This window comes from Homo sapiens, chromosome 16 (assembly GCF_000001405.40).
Source record: "Homo sapiens chromosome 16, GRCh38.p14 Primary Assembly".
NCBI lineage: Eukaryota > Metazoa > Chordata > Mammalia > Primates > Hominidae > Homo > Homo sapiens.
The window spans coordinates 88,465,561-88,481,197 of record NC_000016.10 but is presented as its reverse complement, the minus strand read 5'-3'; the positions used below and the strand labels follow the sequence as shown (position 1 = coordinate 88,481,197).

The window sequence follows — 15,637 nt, the reverse complement described above, 5'->3', positions numbered from 1 at the left end:
CACTGGGCTCAGCCCCTGTGGTGCCCGGAGCCCCTTGGTTATCACAGCCAGCAGACACCCGTGCGCCCATCCGTCTCCTGCTCATTAAGCCGGACGCCGAAATGGAAATGAAAACATAATAGCTATTTGATTGGGGGTGAGATATTTTGCATATTGGCTTGGCGCTGATAGCGGAATTTCATCAACTCCCTTTTTTCATGCTTTAAAACTGAATTATGGAGCTGGCTCTGTGCAGCGGGATGATCCCAGCTCCCTTCCAAGTCCCCACACCGACGATTAAGGTGGCCCCTCCCGGCTTTGATGGCGAGGCGCTGGGGGGCTCCTTTGAACGACTGTCTTGCGGAAAGCTGGAGCCAGTCGCTGAGGAGAGGGGGGCATCCCCCAGACTGTGGGCCCCAGGGTGGACATGCCAGGTGGGGCGCAGATGGGGGCTGTGGATGAGGAGTCTGAGGCCCCTGGGGAGGCCCCTGCGGTGCCCCTGGCTCTGTGACCTTGGGCAAGCCTTCTGAAAACCAGGGCCCTGGCCCAGGGAGCACCCTGCTCCGGCTCAGTGTTTGAGATGAGCCTAAGTCCCCAGTGGGTGCCTGCAGGGGACACAGGCGCCTATGCTGGCCTCTCTTGGGAGTTCTCTCATTCTTGGTCTAGAGGGGAGGAAGTGGAGGTGCAGGTGCCTGCCCAGGCCCCATGTGAGCAGCTGGTGGGGCGGGTGACCACTGGCAGCCACACGGCCCCGCTCCTCCCCCACCAGCACCACGGCTCTTTCCTTCACTCTTTCATCCGCTCCCTCACTCACCCGTCCCCTCACACACTCACTTCTTCCTCCTTCGCTTTCGCTGGCTCCTTTCCCCTTCCTGAGCCCTTGGCGTGCCCCACCCTCACGAGGTGCCAGAGATCCTGCAGTGACCAGCCCCATCCCCCAAAAAGTGGAAGATGCCAGTGTGAGCACCACAGGAAAGAGTCAGAGGTGCCATCCAGGAAGGCTTCCTGGAGGAAGTAGCAAGTGGGTGGCAATCTGGATGGGGAGAGGAGGAGGCTGCCAGCACCGGGTCCAGGGAAAAGCGCTCCAGGAGAAAGGAACAGCAGGAGCTGAGGCTGGCACAGGGCAGGCGGCTTCTCCCTGAGCCTGGTTTCAGCGGATCAAACTGTCTTGCCAAAGGCTGGCGTTAGGACTCAGCCAGGTGTTGGCAGTGGGCGCTGGGCGCAGATGTGAGGTTGTCACCACAGCTGCTGTCACTGTTTCTACTCTGCAGGGACGTGCCCCATCTTCCTCCTTCGGCGGGGGGTGTGAGTGGGTGAAGGCCAGGGCTGGGGGAGGAAGTACTGCGGGGGTGGCAGCGGGGGGGAGGGAGGGACGGGGAGGGGAGCGGAGAGGGGCACAGGTCGGGGCAGAGGATGGGATGGGGAGATGGGAGAGGGGTGGGGCTGGGGAGGCAGAAGAGAAAGACCCCCAGGGCTGGCCTCCTGGTCTTGCTGGCCCTGGGTAGCAGGTGGGTGGGGGGGGGTCACAGCATTGCCAGGAGGGAGAACCTGGCCTCTGGCGGCACACAGCGGCCAGATAAGGCCCTGATAACAGACAGAAAATAGCAACAGATTCAGACTTTCCCACCAGCTGGGCAGCGGGCAGCTTGGGCCACGGTGGGGACAGAGAGGAGACGGGGACGGCCCCGCTCGCTCTGTTGAGGCCACGCTATGGGAGCGCAAGGTGACTGGGGCCCAGGCTGGGTCTGGGGGCCGTGGTGAGCCATTGCAGAGGGCCTGGGTCCCCCAGGCTGACCCGAGTTGAGTCTACAGCATGACCTCCAGCCAAGCGGCGCCCTCCCAGGTCCCTGGTGAGTGGCTGATGCTGTCCACACCCCCTGGCCCAGCTAGGAGCATCTCTCATCCCGTGAATCTCGCCAAGCAGGGAAACCGAAGCACAGAGAGCAGTGGTAGCAGCAGCCCAGCCCCGCCATCAAAGTGGGGTCTGCTGGCGACACCAGCCCAGCACCACCTGCGTGGGGAGCCCGGCCCCGCGGTTGGGACTCGGGACTCACCGCCCACACCCTCAGGACCAAGTGGCCAGTACCTCACGCGCAATCCATCAAGCAGCCAGACTGACTTCCAGGCACTAGGGCAGCTGAGGGAGTGGGCGCAGAGCCTGGGAGAGCCCGGAGCAGACGGCGCCTTCTGTGCCTACCCACCTACCCACTGGGGAGCCCAGGCTCGGCACACGCCCTCGGAGCCTCGAGCCTCCTTCACGTCCAACCCATCACCCCGGTGTGGCCCGGAGCCACCACTGCCATGTGGGGTCCAGGCCCCCGGGGAAGTCTCCACCCCCGTTTCCCTCGAGTAGCATTTGTCACCTGGCTTCTTAAACCCATGGGTCCTCAGGTTGGCCCCCAACTCCTTCCCCTGCCGCCCTTGCCTTGGGGCCTCAGCACCCCCTGCCCCCTCTACGGGAACCCTCGCCTCTATGTGCAGTTGAGGCCTCCTCATCCCTCTGGCGGAGGCTTTTTCCCCCAGCCTAGGTCCGTCCCCCATGGTCCAGGCCTCCCTTCCAGCACCCCAGCTCTGCCGGAGCCTCGTTTATTTGTAGGTCACACTGGTTCACCGGCTGGACTGGGAGGGGGCATGTGTGCCTCTGTGGGCCCGCAACAGCAGCTCAGTGAGCCCTGCGGGAGGCAGGACGGGCAACCGTGACAGCGACCCCTTACAGGGATGCCGGCACCAGGTGCTAAAGAAAGAACACAGGAACGGCTGTGTAGACGCAGACGCTGATGGAGATGAAGAATGAAGAGGCCCTCGGGGGCTATGAGAGGCCCAGGCGGGAAGAGTGCCCTGCAGCAGCCCCACCCCTGGCCCACCCGCAGCTCCTCAGTTCGGGATCAGCACTTGCTGTCAGCCAGGGCAACCACAAAAGCGGATGCCGGTGAGGGTGCGGCTTACTAGAGCAGAGCCCTAACCAGCGCAGGAGCACGTGGCTGAACCTCCAGGGTCCCAGAGAGTCGTGGCAGGCTGGGGACGTGGCCTGAGCCCACCACCCGGGCTGTGCCTTCTGGGCCCAGACACCCTCCCCCATCGGTCCTGCCCCTCAACTGTGCCAGCGGGCCTGGGGCAGGGGAGACATGGCGGTTGAGCGGCTCCACCAAGAGGCAGACAGACAGAGCTCCCACACACCCTGCCATGGGGAGCTCGTGCCTCTTCTGAGTCCCAGACCCACCCACCCCCAGGTCTGTTCTCCCTGTTCTCCCCTCCGAGGTCGGCCTCAGGCTGTGGGCTCCAGGAGGGCCAAGCCCACTGAAGCAGCCTCAGAGCCCAACACGCCCTCCAGGCCAAGCCTGGGGAGCTGCTGCTGAACTGAATGTCCCCAGGCTCAAGTAGGTGGCTGCTGTGCAGGGGCCCTGAGCCCTGACTCACTCCCAGTGAGAGCCTTATAAATATTCAATTGAGATGGAATTCACATACAACCAACTGCATCCCCATAAGCATTCTCTTGGTTTTGCTTTTCTTTTCTTTTCTTTTTTGAGACGGGGTCTTGCTTTGTTGCCCTGGCTGGAGTGTGCCTGTGCAATCACGGTTCACTGTATCCTCAAACCCCTAGACTCAAGCGATCCTCCGGCCTAAGCCTCCTGAGTAGCTGGGACCACAGGTTCATGCCACCATGCTGGACTGAAGCAATCCTTCTACCTCAGCCTCCCAAAGTGTTGGGATTGCAGGCATGAGCCACTGCACCCAGCCATGTTTGGCTTTTAAAGGCAGGAAAGTTTGCTGGAAATGGGTATGGTGGTAACACGCAGCCCAAATAAAATCCAGGGCCCCACCTGGCCCAGTCTCAGGCAAAGAAACACACCGCGGTGACCCAAATCTGTGCTTGCTTCTCTTCAAGAGTCTGAAAGGAGTCACTGAAAATCTTACTCTTTCTAGCATCAGCCACCTTCCCCGTGCCCTTCTCCGCTGACCCGGGGCCCTCACAGGCCAAAGCCCACACGCCCAGCCCACGTGGCTGCTCAGCTGTCCCTTCCCGGCACTCATGTGAACTGTGCCCGCTTCTCTCCCTCCTCTCCTCTCCTGTGGTTCCCTCTATGTCCATGTTCCAATTTCCTCATGGAAGGCAGGGAAGCCGGGCTGGCAGAGACCAGAACTCACTTTCAGGGCTGCGGGGAAGGTCTGCGTGGCCCCGGTCTGCGATGGTGTGGAGAAGGGACCCGGCGCACGGGCGTGCGCACGTCCAAATCTTCTCTCCATCGCTATCACACTGTGTGTCTAGCGTAAGCACTGCCCTTGGGGGGCCAGGGTCTTGCAGCCAAAAGCGGTCCCGGGCCAGAAGTGGGAAGCCCTCAGGCCACCGGCTTAGCTTCTGACCATCTCGGGCCCTCAAATTCCCTGCCTTTCCCTGCCCCTCTGGGAAGCCCTCCCTGGCTCAGGTTGGCCCCCATCGTATGTATGTTCAAGTCGAGTCCCTCCCTCGGTGCCAACAGCCTGGATTCCACAACACACTTGCTGTGTGAAGAACTGTCTCCCTGCCTCCCCAGCCACACTTGGCCTTGTGGTCATGTTCACTAAGCAGCCCCCAACCCCTCACCTCCTCTGCTGAAATGCCTCCCATGGGCCCCCGGGGATCTCGGAGCAAAAGCCAAACCCCTACCCAGCTCCCACCTGGTTTCCGAAAATGGCCCTGCCCTGGCTGCCCTCTCTGCCAGAACTTCCAGCAGGCACCTGCTCGGCCCTCTCCCCTCCCTCCCTCAGCCCTCCCCAGTTCCCACGATGGCCGCCCTGCCACTTGGCGGCCCTCTCTCCCTCCCTTCACGTATGCTCACGGCCGCACCCCCAGCATCTGGAACGGTGCCCGGCACACAGTAGGTACCCAGCAAATGCTGATGGACACGGGAAGGGTCAGGGCCTGGAAACAGGCTGGTGGGGTGTGGCTGGCTTGGAGGGGGGTGTGGCTAGGTCATCCTGGGCTCCCCCAGCAGGGAGGCTGTGCAGAGGGATGGAGGCTTGGTTGGTTCCCGCGAGGGGCCTTCGGGTCTCAGCCTGCTCACCCTGGGGTGGGTGAGCCAGGCTGAGTCCCACCTGGTTGGCCGAAGGTGCCCATGGCAAGGTGCCCTGCTACCTGCCCCTGTGGGGTCTGAGGCCTGGGTGGGTGTGGGGGCACCACGAGGAGAGGGATGAGACTCAGGGTCATGGGGCACCAGCATTGGGAGGGGGTTCTGCACCCACACCCCCTCAGCCCCACCACTTCTTCCTGTGGCTGACCCAGTAACCGAGGGGTGGACCTGGTGGGCTTAACTGCCCTGGGCCCACAGCCACGCCCAGCCTCTGGCCGAATGGTGTCCAGGCTGAGCAGCCGTCCAGGGGGCCGAGGGTAGGCCCAGGTCCTCCTGCACGCGTGCGTCCCAGGCAGCATCGGCTGCAGGCAATGCTGGGGCTCCTCTGAGCCCAGCCCCTCCCTAAGCAGAGGAACTAACAGTGGTAGGCAGCAGACAGTGGGCAGTGGCCAGCGAGCCTCGGGGTGGCCACACAGATAGCACAGATCCAGGTGTGCTGACCCAGCAGCCTGCCTGCACCCTTTTCCCGAGCCCTGCCCTGTACCCGGCGTTGTCCTTGGGGTCCTCACAGTCAGGAGAGAGGACCTGGGCTTTCTCAGGCCTCAGCTCGCTCTCCCCTCCTCCTCCTCCCTTTTTCTTGGCTGTGCTCCCCCCCCCGGACCCCTGCCCCTGCTCAGGGTTACTTGGGTGGGATTGGGACACAGGTCTGTGCAGCTTCCAGGCCCGAGGTCTGGTCTCTCCCCTTGCTGGCCTCAGTTTCTCCTCCTGGCTCCACGTCATAGGAGGATCACAGCTCAGCGAGGCCCTTCCCGGTCCCACACCTTCCCTCCCATCGCGTGCGCTCCTGCCCTCACCATGGTCCCTGTGTGTGCCCACCCTCCCCTCTGATGGCCCCCCAGGGCCTGGGCCCTGCCAGGTGCCCACTGCATGGCTGAAGCCAGGGCACCCTCGACACCCCACGGGAGCGTCCACCTGCCTCGCCTGCTCTGGTGCAGGGCTGGCATCGGGCATGGCTCCTCCCGGAGCTGTGGCTCCCTCTGACCAGATCCCCATCAACACGAATGCACAGCCCTTCACAGTTTATGAAGCTCTGCCAGGATCAAGCACAGGCCTGTAGGGAAACTGAGGCAGAGAGCAGCCAGACCTGTCCCTGCATGGTCCCAGCACGGGCCTCAGGTCAGCTGCCATTCAGGGCCAAGTGGAATCTAGCTGGCGACTGGCTCTGGGCATAGGGGCTGCCCAGGTCCTGGTTTACACATCTGGCCAACGAGTATGGACTCATCAGTCTCGAAGAGCTGCTGTGAACAGAGGCTGGGAGGCTCTGCAGGAGGCAGAGAGGCCCCAGATGCGGGTTCCCGACAGCCCTGGGGGTTCTGCAGCAGGGGCGTTAAGAGCGGAGCAAATGAACATCCTATGTGTGGGAATGGAGGATGCCGCGGAGGCTCGGACAGTGTTCAGGATGGAGAAGAGCGGGCTGGCGTGGGGGCTGGCTTCAGACAGGGTGGTCACCAGGGCTTCTCAGAGGCTAACCTTTACCTGTGACTGAGAAGAGCTCCGGGCAGAGAGCGCTGAAGACAGAGCCCCCCGCCCCCCGAAGTGGGACGGAGCCCTGCACGGCCCAGGGATGGGAGGAGGCGGGTGGCGGGGAGGCAGGGGGCTGGAGGCTTTGGAGGGAGCTGGGGTTTTATTCTGGGCACCGTGAGAAGCCACCATCAGACACCGAGCAGAATGCCAAAATCTGTCAGACTGTGGTAGGGTCCCTGGGCTGCTGGGGGAACCCTGGCCGGGCAGCTGCTGCATCTGCCACCACCTCCAGGCAGCCCCCCAGCTCTGGCCACCTCTTCGGGCTCCCTTGGATCCTCCCCCTGCCCTGAGCCTGCCCCTTCTCTGGAGCCAGGGCCAGTGGGCTGGTCCCCCACCCGTGTCCCCAGGGGCAGTGGCCCGGGCGGGGCAAGGCAGAGAGAAAGGGAGGCGGAGGAGGAGGGAAGAAAGAGCCGGGGCCTGAGAAAGCCCAGCCCGGCTGATAGGGGAGAGATTGGTTTCAGCCGGAGCCGCCGCCTGCCAAGTCCACATCCTATCGGTGCGGCCTGCGCTTACTCAACATTCATCACCGCTGAACTCGGAAACTTTATCGACGCTGAAGGTTGGCGCCATCTCTGGGCCCGGCCACTCCCGGCCCTCCGATGGGCCTGATAGCCACTGATAGATTACATGAGATTGCTTCACTCCGGAGAACCGATTACTAAACCCCTTGCGGAAGAGCCGAGGGGGTGCCCAGGGATGGGATGTGGGTGGGGGTGGCGAGGCCGCGTGGGGCCGTGGCGGGCAAGGACCACCGCACAGGGTGAAGGTGAGGATGGGGTCAGGCCATATGTGTGGCAGGGTGGCTGAGGCCACGCACGCGGCTGCAAGCCCGCCGGAGGCCCAGGGAGGAGGAGAGGTCCCAGCACGGCCCCGAGAATCTGGGCTGGGGAGCGACCCCCCTCCCCAGATGGGTGATAAGGGCTGATAGATGGGGCGGGGGCCGCGGCTCACGGAGCCATCGCCGCGCAGCCTGCGTCAGATGGGTGGAGGCAGCTGGCTCCCTGGAAGGGAGCAGGGGTCCCCCAGGATGGGCCCGGCCATGGGAGAAGTGGGGCGCAGCACCCAGACCCCGGGGCAGCGGGGCCGTCATGGCCCTCCCTAGCAGCCGACCCTCCTCCCGCCCTGCGGCCCTCGAGGACAGGCCTGTGGGTTCACCTCACCCCGCCCTCAAGGCCATGGTGAGAGGGGCCCCTCATCAGTGGCTGTACAGCTGGGCTGAGGCCTGAGGGTCGGTGGGTGAGCTCACAAGCCCAGGAGACTCCAGGCTTTCATTCACAGCATCCAACCACAGCCCAAGGGTGGGTGGTTCCTGCCATCCTCTTCCAAGTGGGCCATCCCGGAGATTCCCGGGGGCCAGGAGCAGGATTCACCCCAGACCTGGGGACCCTAGTGTCCAGACCCTCAGATGCCTTTCAGAAAGGAAGAAGTCACGCCCTCTGGCTCAGTTCAGCCTTTTCCTCGTTCCAGGGTCTCAGGCAGCAAAGCAACTGCTCCCACCGCACAGCTGCAGAAACGGAGGCTGCCCGGTCCCACGGGGGACGGCAGCGCCGCAGGGCCTGCGCCCAGACCTCCTGCCCAGCTGGCCCCTCGTCCTGGTGGGGTCCAGGGCTGCGGCGTCCTGGAAGCTTGTGGGGCGCTAGAGCTCTGAGCTCTGTGATGCAGGCCTGCCCTGGGCCTGCTGCCCCGCCTGAAACCAGGAGTTAACACATCAGCCTCCAACCCACAGAGGCGGAGCCTAGGATGCTGGAGTGGGGCTGGGGCAAGGGTGGGAGCCACCATCAGGGAGAGCCTGTGCCGGGAGGGCGTGGAGTTATGGGGACCCACTGCTGCTGGGTTCCCAGCACCGAATGCACTTGTGTCCTGAGCTGTACACGGGAAAGGGTTAATATGGTAAATGTGATGTACACTTTACCACAATAAAAAATAGAAAATTCAGGCCGGGCGCAGTGGCTCACGCTTGTAATCCCAGCACTTTGGGAGGCTGAGGCGGGCAGATCACGAGGTCAGGAGATGGAGGCCATCCTGGCCAACAGGGTGAAACCCCGTCTCTACTAAAAATACAAAAATTAGCTGGGCGTGGTGGCAGGCGCCTATAGTCCCAGCTACTCAGGAGGCTGAGGCAGGAGAATATCTTGAATCCGGGAGGCAGATGTTGCAGTGGGCCCAGATCACACCACTGTACTCCAGCCTGGCGACACAGCGAGACTCAGTCTCAAAAAAAAAAAAAAAAAAGAAAATTCAAACAAAAAAGCAGGAAATGCCACCCTCTCTGTGCTGTGGTGGCAGCAGGCGCTCTGGTGCCTCTTCCCTTTCTCCTGGGACCGAGGCGCAGAGCTGGCACATCCCTGCCTGTGTGCCCCACCCTGTGGGCACCTGCCCTGCCCACCACCGTGCCTCCAGCCACTTGTGGGTGTGGACACTGAGGCTGGGGCTCGCTGGGGTTCAGCCCTGCGCCCCCTCCACGAACTGGGTCCACAGATGGGGTGGGGTTACCGGCGGCCATGGGTGGTGGGAGCCCAGCTGAGGTGACCTGTCCTGAGAGTGGCCCCAACAGACTTCCGCTGCCCATCAGGGTTTGGCCCTGCCGGGCTCCTACCGGGGAGGCCCAGGCTTCTGGCTCCACTCCCTGCAGACCACACGGCCCCTGCCCCGGCCCACCCAAGGCTCTTGCGGACCTGCAGGTCCCCTCAGGAATAACCCAGTGGAACATGGTGCACAGCCAGCCGGAGGCCCAGAGCCCTCCCAGCCCGCGGGGGCCTCGCCCCGATTTCACAGAGATGGACACACAGCCTTAGTCTTAGTCACAGGCTCAGGTGTCTGTGGCAGATCCCAGTGTGAGTAAGTGGTGGGCAGGAATTCATGCCCAGGCCATGTGGCTTTAGAGCCGGGAGCCCTGACCCCTCCACTGTGTGTGGGAGCCACCGCGGCCACGGTCATCTTGGGGCCCTGACCCCACCTCTGTGAGTGGGAGCCGCTACAGCCACGATCATCTCGGGGTCCTGGCGTCCCCCACTGTGAGCAGGAGCCACCGCAGCCATGGTCATCTTGGGGTCTTGGCCCCTCCACTATGCGTGGGAGCCACTGTGGGCATGGTCGTCTCGGGGTCCTGGCATCCCCCACTGTGAGCAGGAGCCACCGCAGCCATGGTCATCTTGGGGTCTTGGCCCCCCCACTATGCGTGGGAGCCACTGTGGGCACGGTCATCTCGGGGTCCTGAACTGTGAGCGGGAGCCGCCACGGACACAGTCATCTCAGAGCCTAGATGCTATAGCCCAAGCCAGACCCTGCGGCCGCTGGCCTTCGCGAGGGTGGAGGTCACACATGGCTGCAGCCCTGGAGGGTCAGCTGGTTGGGAGCTCAGGGAGTCCGGCTCTTGTCTGAATTCTCAGTGCCCATCGCGGTCAGGGCGGAGTAAGTGGAGAGGAAAAGTCTGGTCTATCTATCATGGCTGCAGGGGAGCTGGGCTTTCCTCCTCCCGGCCCCCTCGCTCCTTCAGAAGGCAGCCTCTGGGCAGCCCAGTATGTAGTTGGCAAGGGCACACGGGGAAGGGAATGCCTGTCGCGGAGGCTGGACCCCACCGGGTGAGGTACTGGCATCTGAGCTGGGCCCTGGGTCAGTGCGTCACGCTGCGTCTCCCGCCCCTTCCTGGACGACCTCATCCCCTGCTCGGAGCTCCCACTGTGCGCTCGGCGAGGATGTGTTTCCCTATGCCACATCCTCACCTGTCACTCAGCGTCACCACCCGGCCCTCCACACCGTGCCACATCCTCACCTGTCACTCAGCGTCACCACCCGGCCCTCCACACCGTGCCACATCCTCACGTGTCACTCAGCGTCACCACCCGGCCCTCCACACCGTGCCACATCCTCACCTGTCACTCAGCGTCACCACCCGGCCCTCCACACCGTGCCACATCCTCACCTGTCACTCAGCGTCACCACCCGGCCCTCCACACCGTGCCACATCCTCACCTGTCACTCAGCGTCACCACCCGGCCCTCCACACCGTGCCACATCCTCACCTGTCACTCAGCGTCACCACCCGGCCCTCCACACCGTGCCACATCCTCACCTGTCACTGAGTGTCACCACCCGGCCCTCCACACCACCAGTCCCCCAACAACAGCCTCCCCAGTGGTTCTGCCACAGAGCACGTCAGACCCCTGTGTTCACTCTCCCTCGTTAGGCTGGGGTTCCATGAGGTCACCTGGGGTCCCTGGACCATGCCCAGCACACAGCAGGCACTCAGTACAGGTTTGGAGAGTACAGGGGACACCCGTGGGCATCCAGAGGCTGCCCGCCCCAACCCGTCCAGCAGCCCTGTCCCCAGGACAGGTGGGGTGGCCCTGACAGCAAGGACCCCGCAGGAGTGAGTCACAGCCCCAGCACAGGGACAAGGACCGTGGCTCTCCACAGGCGATGCTCCTACACGGGAGGGGCCTTTGCCCAGGACAATGCTGGCTCTGGAGGCCCTGGCTTTTTCTCCGTTTCCTTTTTCCTTCTGCTTGCTTTGCCTCTGGGGACACAGCCAGGCACAGGGAGCAGATCCAGAAATCAGCTGGGGAGTATTTATGGAGCACCTACTGTATGCCCCAAGCTGTCCTGGGAGAGGACAGAGCTGCCTGCATGTGTGGAGACCCCTCTGCAGACTGGGAGGGCTGCGTGGGGAGATCCTCTGGGCTGGGCACGCACCTCTGACCCTCACCACGTGAGAGGCACTGCACCCCACGTTAGGGGGTGGGGCCCTGGCCAAGGTGATGTCTGGTTCTGGTCGGACGGCCCCTCCCTACTTCCTCTCCTTAGATCTCAGCCCAGACTCTTTCTCTCCTCGCCCCGCCACTATTTTCCACTTACACATTTTTGACAAACACCCACACCTGTGGCTGATTTTCAGGTGCCGTGGGAGCTGACAGGGCCTCCAGCCAGGTCTCAGGCCGGCGGAGCCTGCCTCATCCTGGTCTTGCCAGCAAGACCCACTGTGCAGTGTGGGTGGATGCAGAACACAGGTGCATGCCCCCTAAGGTGTCCTAAGCCCCCTGTAGACATGGTCTCCTGGCACATGAATTTCTGACAATGGGAAATCTGGAAGACCCCAGGTTTCCAGGCTATGCCACAGCCACAGACAGGAGGACCCCCAGAGAACCTGCCACCTCAGCCTCATGGTGTGGAAGGGGAAACTGAGGCCCAGGCCGGCAAGGGGCTTGCTGAAGAGCCCAGAAACCATCCTGGGAGGCAGACCTACTAGACCGCCTTCCGGTTTTACAGATGGGGAGGCTGAGGGTGGGCAAAGGGGTTGGGACTGTCATTCATTAAGATGGTGCCACGTCCCTGGCCCGGCCGGCACTTCAGAAGCTTGGCAGAATGAGGTTCCGGATGGAAGTCAGCGCGGGGAGAGGGTGGAGCGGTGGGGGGCAGCCTGCAGGAGGGTCTGGAGTGGGCCCAGACATGGGGGTGGGAGGCTGGCTGGCCCCAGGGCCGTCCCTGCCGGGTTGTGAAACTCGCTGTTCCCATCTGGGAGTGGCTGCTGGCTGCACTCCTCTCGGGAACTCCTGGGTCCTGGTCCCCAACTGAGGCCACGTGGGTCTGGGCTCTGACGGTTGGCAGGTCATCCAGAGGCCAGCCTGTCCATCCGCCTGTGCCCAGACAGCGAGGCCCCTAAAAGGCGGGCCCTTCCAGAGCCGGTGGTGGTGGTGGCAGAGGTCTCCCGTCCTGGGGCAGGGTCCAGGATGGGAACTACTCCCCCAGGTCAAGGGCAGCCCCTGGAGGAGGCCCTGCCCCCACACAGCAGCTCAGCCAATCCCTGGGCCTCACCCCTGCTCATTTGCATACCCCATTTCCATTGGCTGCCAACAGGCTGGTTAGGACAGTGGTGCCCTGGCCATGGGGGTGGGGCTCTGGGGGGCGGGGCCCTGGGGGTATCAGATTCTGGGTGACTGGTCCCAGCCCCAAGTCTAGGGTCAGAAAGCTGCATGGGGCTGGTGGGGGGCTTCAGTTACAGTGCAGGCTCTCCCCTTTCCTCGAAGGCTCCCTGACATCCATTCAGGGATGACTCTGAGTGGGAAAGATACTGGTCCAAGGTCGTACAGCCAAGAGGCCGGCACAGCTGGGACCTGGCCCCAAGTCCCAACCCCTCTCCAAGGCCGGCCTCTTTTCTCCTGTGGGGGCCTGTTGAGAGCGACTTCTTATTTTTGGCTGCCTTGTTTCAGGGAGGGCTATTTGGGGGCTTTCTTTGCAAAATGATGATGATGATGACTTTCAGAGCACCCCGAGTGCTCAGCTCTCCCTCTAGATCTGGTGGCTCTGTGCGCCGCAGGCAGTGGGCTCGCGGGTGCGTCGGGACGGTGGGCTCGCGGGTGCTTGAGGGGCGGTGGGCTCGCGGGTGCTTGAGGGGCGGTGGGCTCGCGGGTGCGTCAGGGCCTGTGGGCTCGCGGGTGGGTCAGGGGCAGTGGGCTCGCGGGTGCGTGAGGGGCGGTGGGCTCGCAGGTGCGTCAGCGGCCGGTGGGCTCGCGGGTGGGTCGGGGCGGTGGGCTCGCGGGGGCGTGAGGGGCGGTGGGCTCGCGGGTGTGTGAGGGGCGGTGGGGGGCTCGCGGGTGTGCGGGTTGAGAGTGTGTTCTCACTTTTGTTCCTGGCATTAGGGTGGGGTGAGATAAGGGGAAGGGGGGCCGCTCAGCTCGAGCAAGCAGATAGATAACGGCGATAGCACCTCCTCCACCGCACAGCACGCATCGCCCTTTTTTATCAAGTTCTCTTTTCTTCTTTTTCGTTGTAGGGTGGTAGAGTAGAAAACACCCCACCCCCACCTCCCAAAGCCATGGAACTAGGGGGTGGGGGCCTCCCCATCTCAGGTCCCAGCCACAAAGGGCACGGGTCAGCTTAGGGCCCGCTGTGCCCAACACGCCCAGCAGCCAGCCCAGAGCCCGTGACTGGAGGAGGGAGGGGATCCAAGGCAGCTGCGAGGCCCGGGGTCCGGAGGTCCCAGCATGACAGGAGCAGCTGCGCATGTGCCCTGCAAGGCAGGTCTCGCGGTCTACACCATCAGCTCCTTGAAAGGACTCTGAGAGGGCGACTGGCACCCCATTTTATAGGAAAAGGCAGCAAAGCCCAGAGAAGTGAAGTGTCACTGGGGCGGGTGCTGAGCTCCTTCCTCGAGAAGCCCTGGGTGGGCACCGCTGGGAGGGGTGGGGAGACCTCAGGGGGGTTGGCCATGGCCTGCAGGGCAGGCTTAGCGGTGTCGGCCCTATTTGACAGATGAGGAAACTGAGACCTGAGACTCTGGGATGTGTGTGAGAACCAGGGCCATGGGGACAGATGCTGTACCCCCTGCTTGTTTGCTGCGGCTCCTGGTCTGGGTGACTGTGGCAACTATGGGGGACTGACAAGGGGTAGACTCTTGGATCACAGGGACAAATGTTCTGGAGCCACTCTGGCCGCTGTGTGATGGGACGAGGCCCTAGGTGACATCACTGAGGTCATCGGCACACTGTAGCCGTTGGCGGAAAACCGTGCAGGAAGAATGCCAGTAGGATTCAGGGAGGGTGGGCTGCGGGCAGAGAGGGCTTTGGAGAGGTGGCCCCACCCCAGGGACCCTCGCCCCGGCTCGTGTCCCCCCATTAATACCACCGCCGTTTTGGGGTTCACTGAGCCCTGCCGCACAAGGGCCCCAGATGCTTTACCCACTTCTGCCCTAATTCCTCAAAGGCCAAGGAGGCTGGAACTGTGATCATGCCCATGATACAAGTGAGGAAACTGAGAGGCTGCCGGCCAGGGGGCAGGATTTAAACGCTGGTCACTGGAGCTGACATTTACCCCCCTCCCCCACATACACACCCCACTGCACTGGAAATAGCTGACTTCCTTTTAGAATATTGAAACAAAACCAAACCCAAAAGTTAGAAAGAAACCAACTTTCTCACCAAAGGAGCTTATTTTCTGGGGACAGATGAAATGAACCCAAGAAACAAGAATAGAGGCAGGCCAGCCTCCGCCCATCCCCTCCCACTGCCAGGATGGGCTGTGCGGCCCTCAGCCGTCCCCTGCCCTTTCTGTGCTTGGCCTTTCTCCCTGAAAGGTACGGGTGAGCCCCCTGGGAGGCTCGTGGGCTGCCCCCCACTGCAAACACCCCAGAACCTCCAGCCAGGATGGAGACTCTGACCTCGGCTAGACTCTAAGCCAGAAGCCAGGGTCCCTTCTGTTCTCTTCATGCTGTGTGATCTTGGGTGAGTTACTCAACCTCGCTGAGCCTTCAGTTCTCTGAGGAGAATGAGGTCATAGGCGCCCCTCCCAGGGCTGCAGAGTACTCCATGCCAGAACTGCCGGGGCTGGGTAACGGAGCTGTTGTCTAACCACGGCCGCCATCAGGATCACTACAACTGGGGGTCCCAGAACCACCCAGAAATGTCACCATCCACACCGCCCCAGGGATCCTGCCTTTGGGTTCCCAGAGGATCTCATTTCTCAAGAGTCACTCAAAATATAAAATCCAGGAAGGGGGAAATGGCAAGCTGGCCTGCACCCACTGGGAGCCCAGGCGGCTCCACAGGAAGCCTTTCTGCCAGCGAGGGAGCGGCCGGGCCACTGCCTCAAGGAGACATCGTAGCTGCGTGGCCTTGGTTTCCCCCGTGCACGGCGGGCCCCTTGGCACCCTCCACCCCATGGCTGCTTCACCTGTCCCTCCTCCACCCCTATGGCTGCTTCACCTGTCCCTCAGCAGGAGGATTAGCCGCACGCCGGGCTCTAATCGCCGCTAATCGCTCCATCAGCGCCGGATCTCGGATCAGCTGAAGGAGGCGGCTTTATCCAGACAGACGCCGCGATGGCACCTGAGTCCCATCTGGGCGCAGCTGTCAGGTGCAGCAGCAGGGCCAGGGATGGCTGGGGACAGGGTGGGAGCCAAGCCGGGGAGCACACAGGGTTTCTCAATGCAGGCAAGCCCCTCCCCCTCCCCAGCTGGCCAATGGGACTCTGCCTGGGCCCTCCACATTTATTAAGTACCTACTGTATAACCGGGCACTGTTCTAGGCACCAGG

The 15,637-nt window shown here is 62.9% G+C and overlaps 1 protein-coding gene and 1 non-coding gene across 4 annotated transcripts in view, besides 4 other annotated features; both read right to left on the bottom strand.

Moving 5' to 3' along the window:
- The window catches only part of ZFPM1 (zinc finger protein, FOG family member 1), an 85,263-nt gene that overhangs the window by 55,834 nt on the left and 13,792 nt on the right, over positions 1–15,637 (bottom strand). The window lies entirely within an intron of this gene.
- Positions 37–537: an enhancer, noted in NCBI's record as "H3K4me1 hESC enhancer chr16:88547069-88547569 (GRCh37/hg19 assembly coordinates)". NCBI's record gives its function as "activates a minimal SCP1, AML or CMV promoter by ChIP-STARR-seq in primed H9 embryonic stem cells {active_cell/tissue: H9 hESC(primed)}" and the evidence as "EXISTENCE:reporter gene assay evidence [ECO:0000049][PMID:30033119]".
- Positions 538–1,038: an enhancer, noted in NCBI's record as "H3K4me1 hESC enhancer chr16:88546568-88547068 (GRCh37/hg19 assembly coordinates)". NCBI's record gives its function as "activates a minimal SCP1, AML or CMV promoter by ChIP-STARR-seq in primed H9 embryonic stem cells {active_cell/tissue: H9 hESC(primed)}" and the evidence as "EXISTENCE:reporter gene assay evidence [ECO:0000049][PMID:30033119]".
- Positions 1,505–2,429: an enhancer, noted in NCBI's record as "H3K27ac-H3K4me1 hESC enhancer chr16:88545177-88546101 (GRCh37/hg19 assembly coordinates)". NCBI's record gives its function as "activates a minimal SCP1, AML or CMV promoter by ChIP-STARR-seq in naive H9 embryonic stem cells {active_cell/tissue: H9 hESC(naive)}" and the evidence as "EXISTENCE:reporter gene assay evidence [ECO:0000049][PMID:30033119]".
- Positions 2,430–3,355: an enhancer, noted in NCBI's record as "H3K27ac-H3K4me1 hESC enhancer chr16:88544251-88545176 (GRCh37/hg19 assembly coordinates)". NCBI's record gives its function as "activates a minimal SCP1, AML or CMV promoter by ChIP-STARR-seq in naive H9 embryonic stem cells {active_cell/tissue: H9 hESC(naive)}" and the evidence as "EXISTENCE:reporter gene assay evidence [ECO:0000049][PMID:30033119]".
- MIR5189 (microRNA 5189) lies at positions 12,167–12,280 on the bottom strand. The gene has a single exon (NR_049821.1). It is a non-coding gene; the product is annotated as a microRNA 5189 (primary transcript).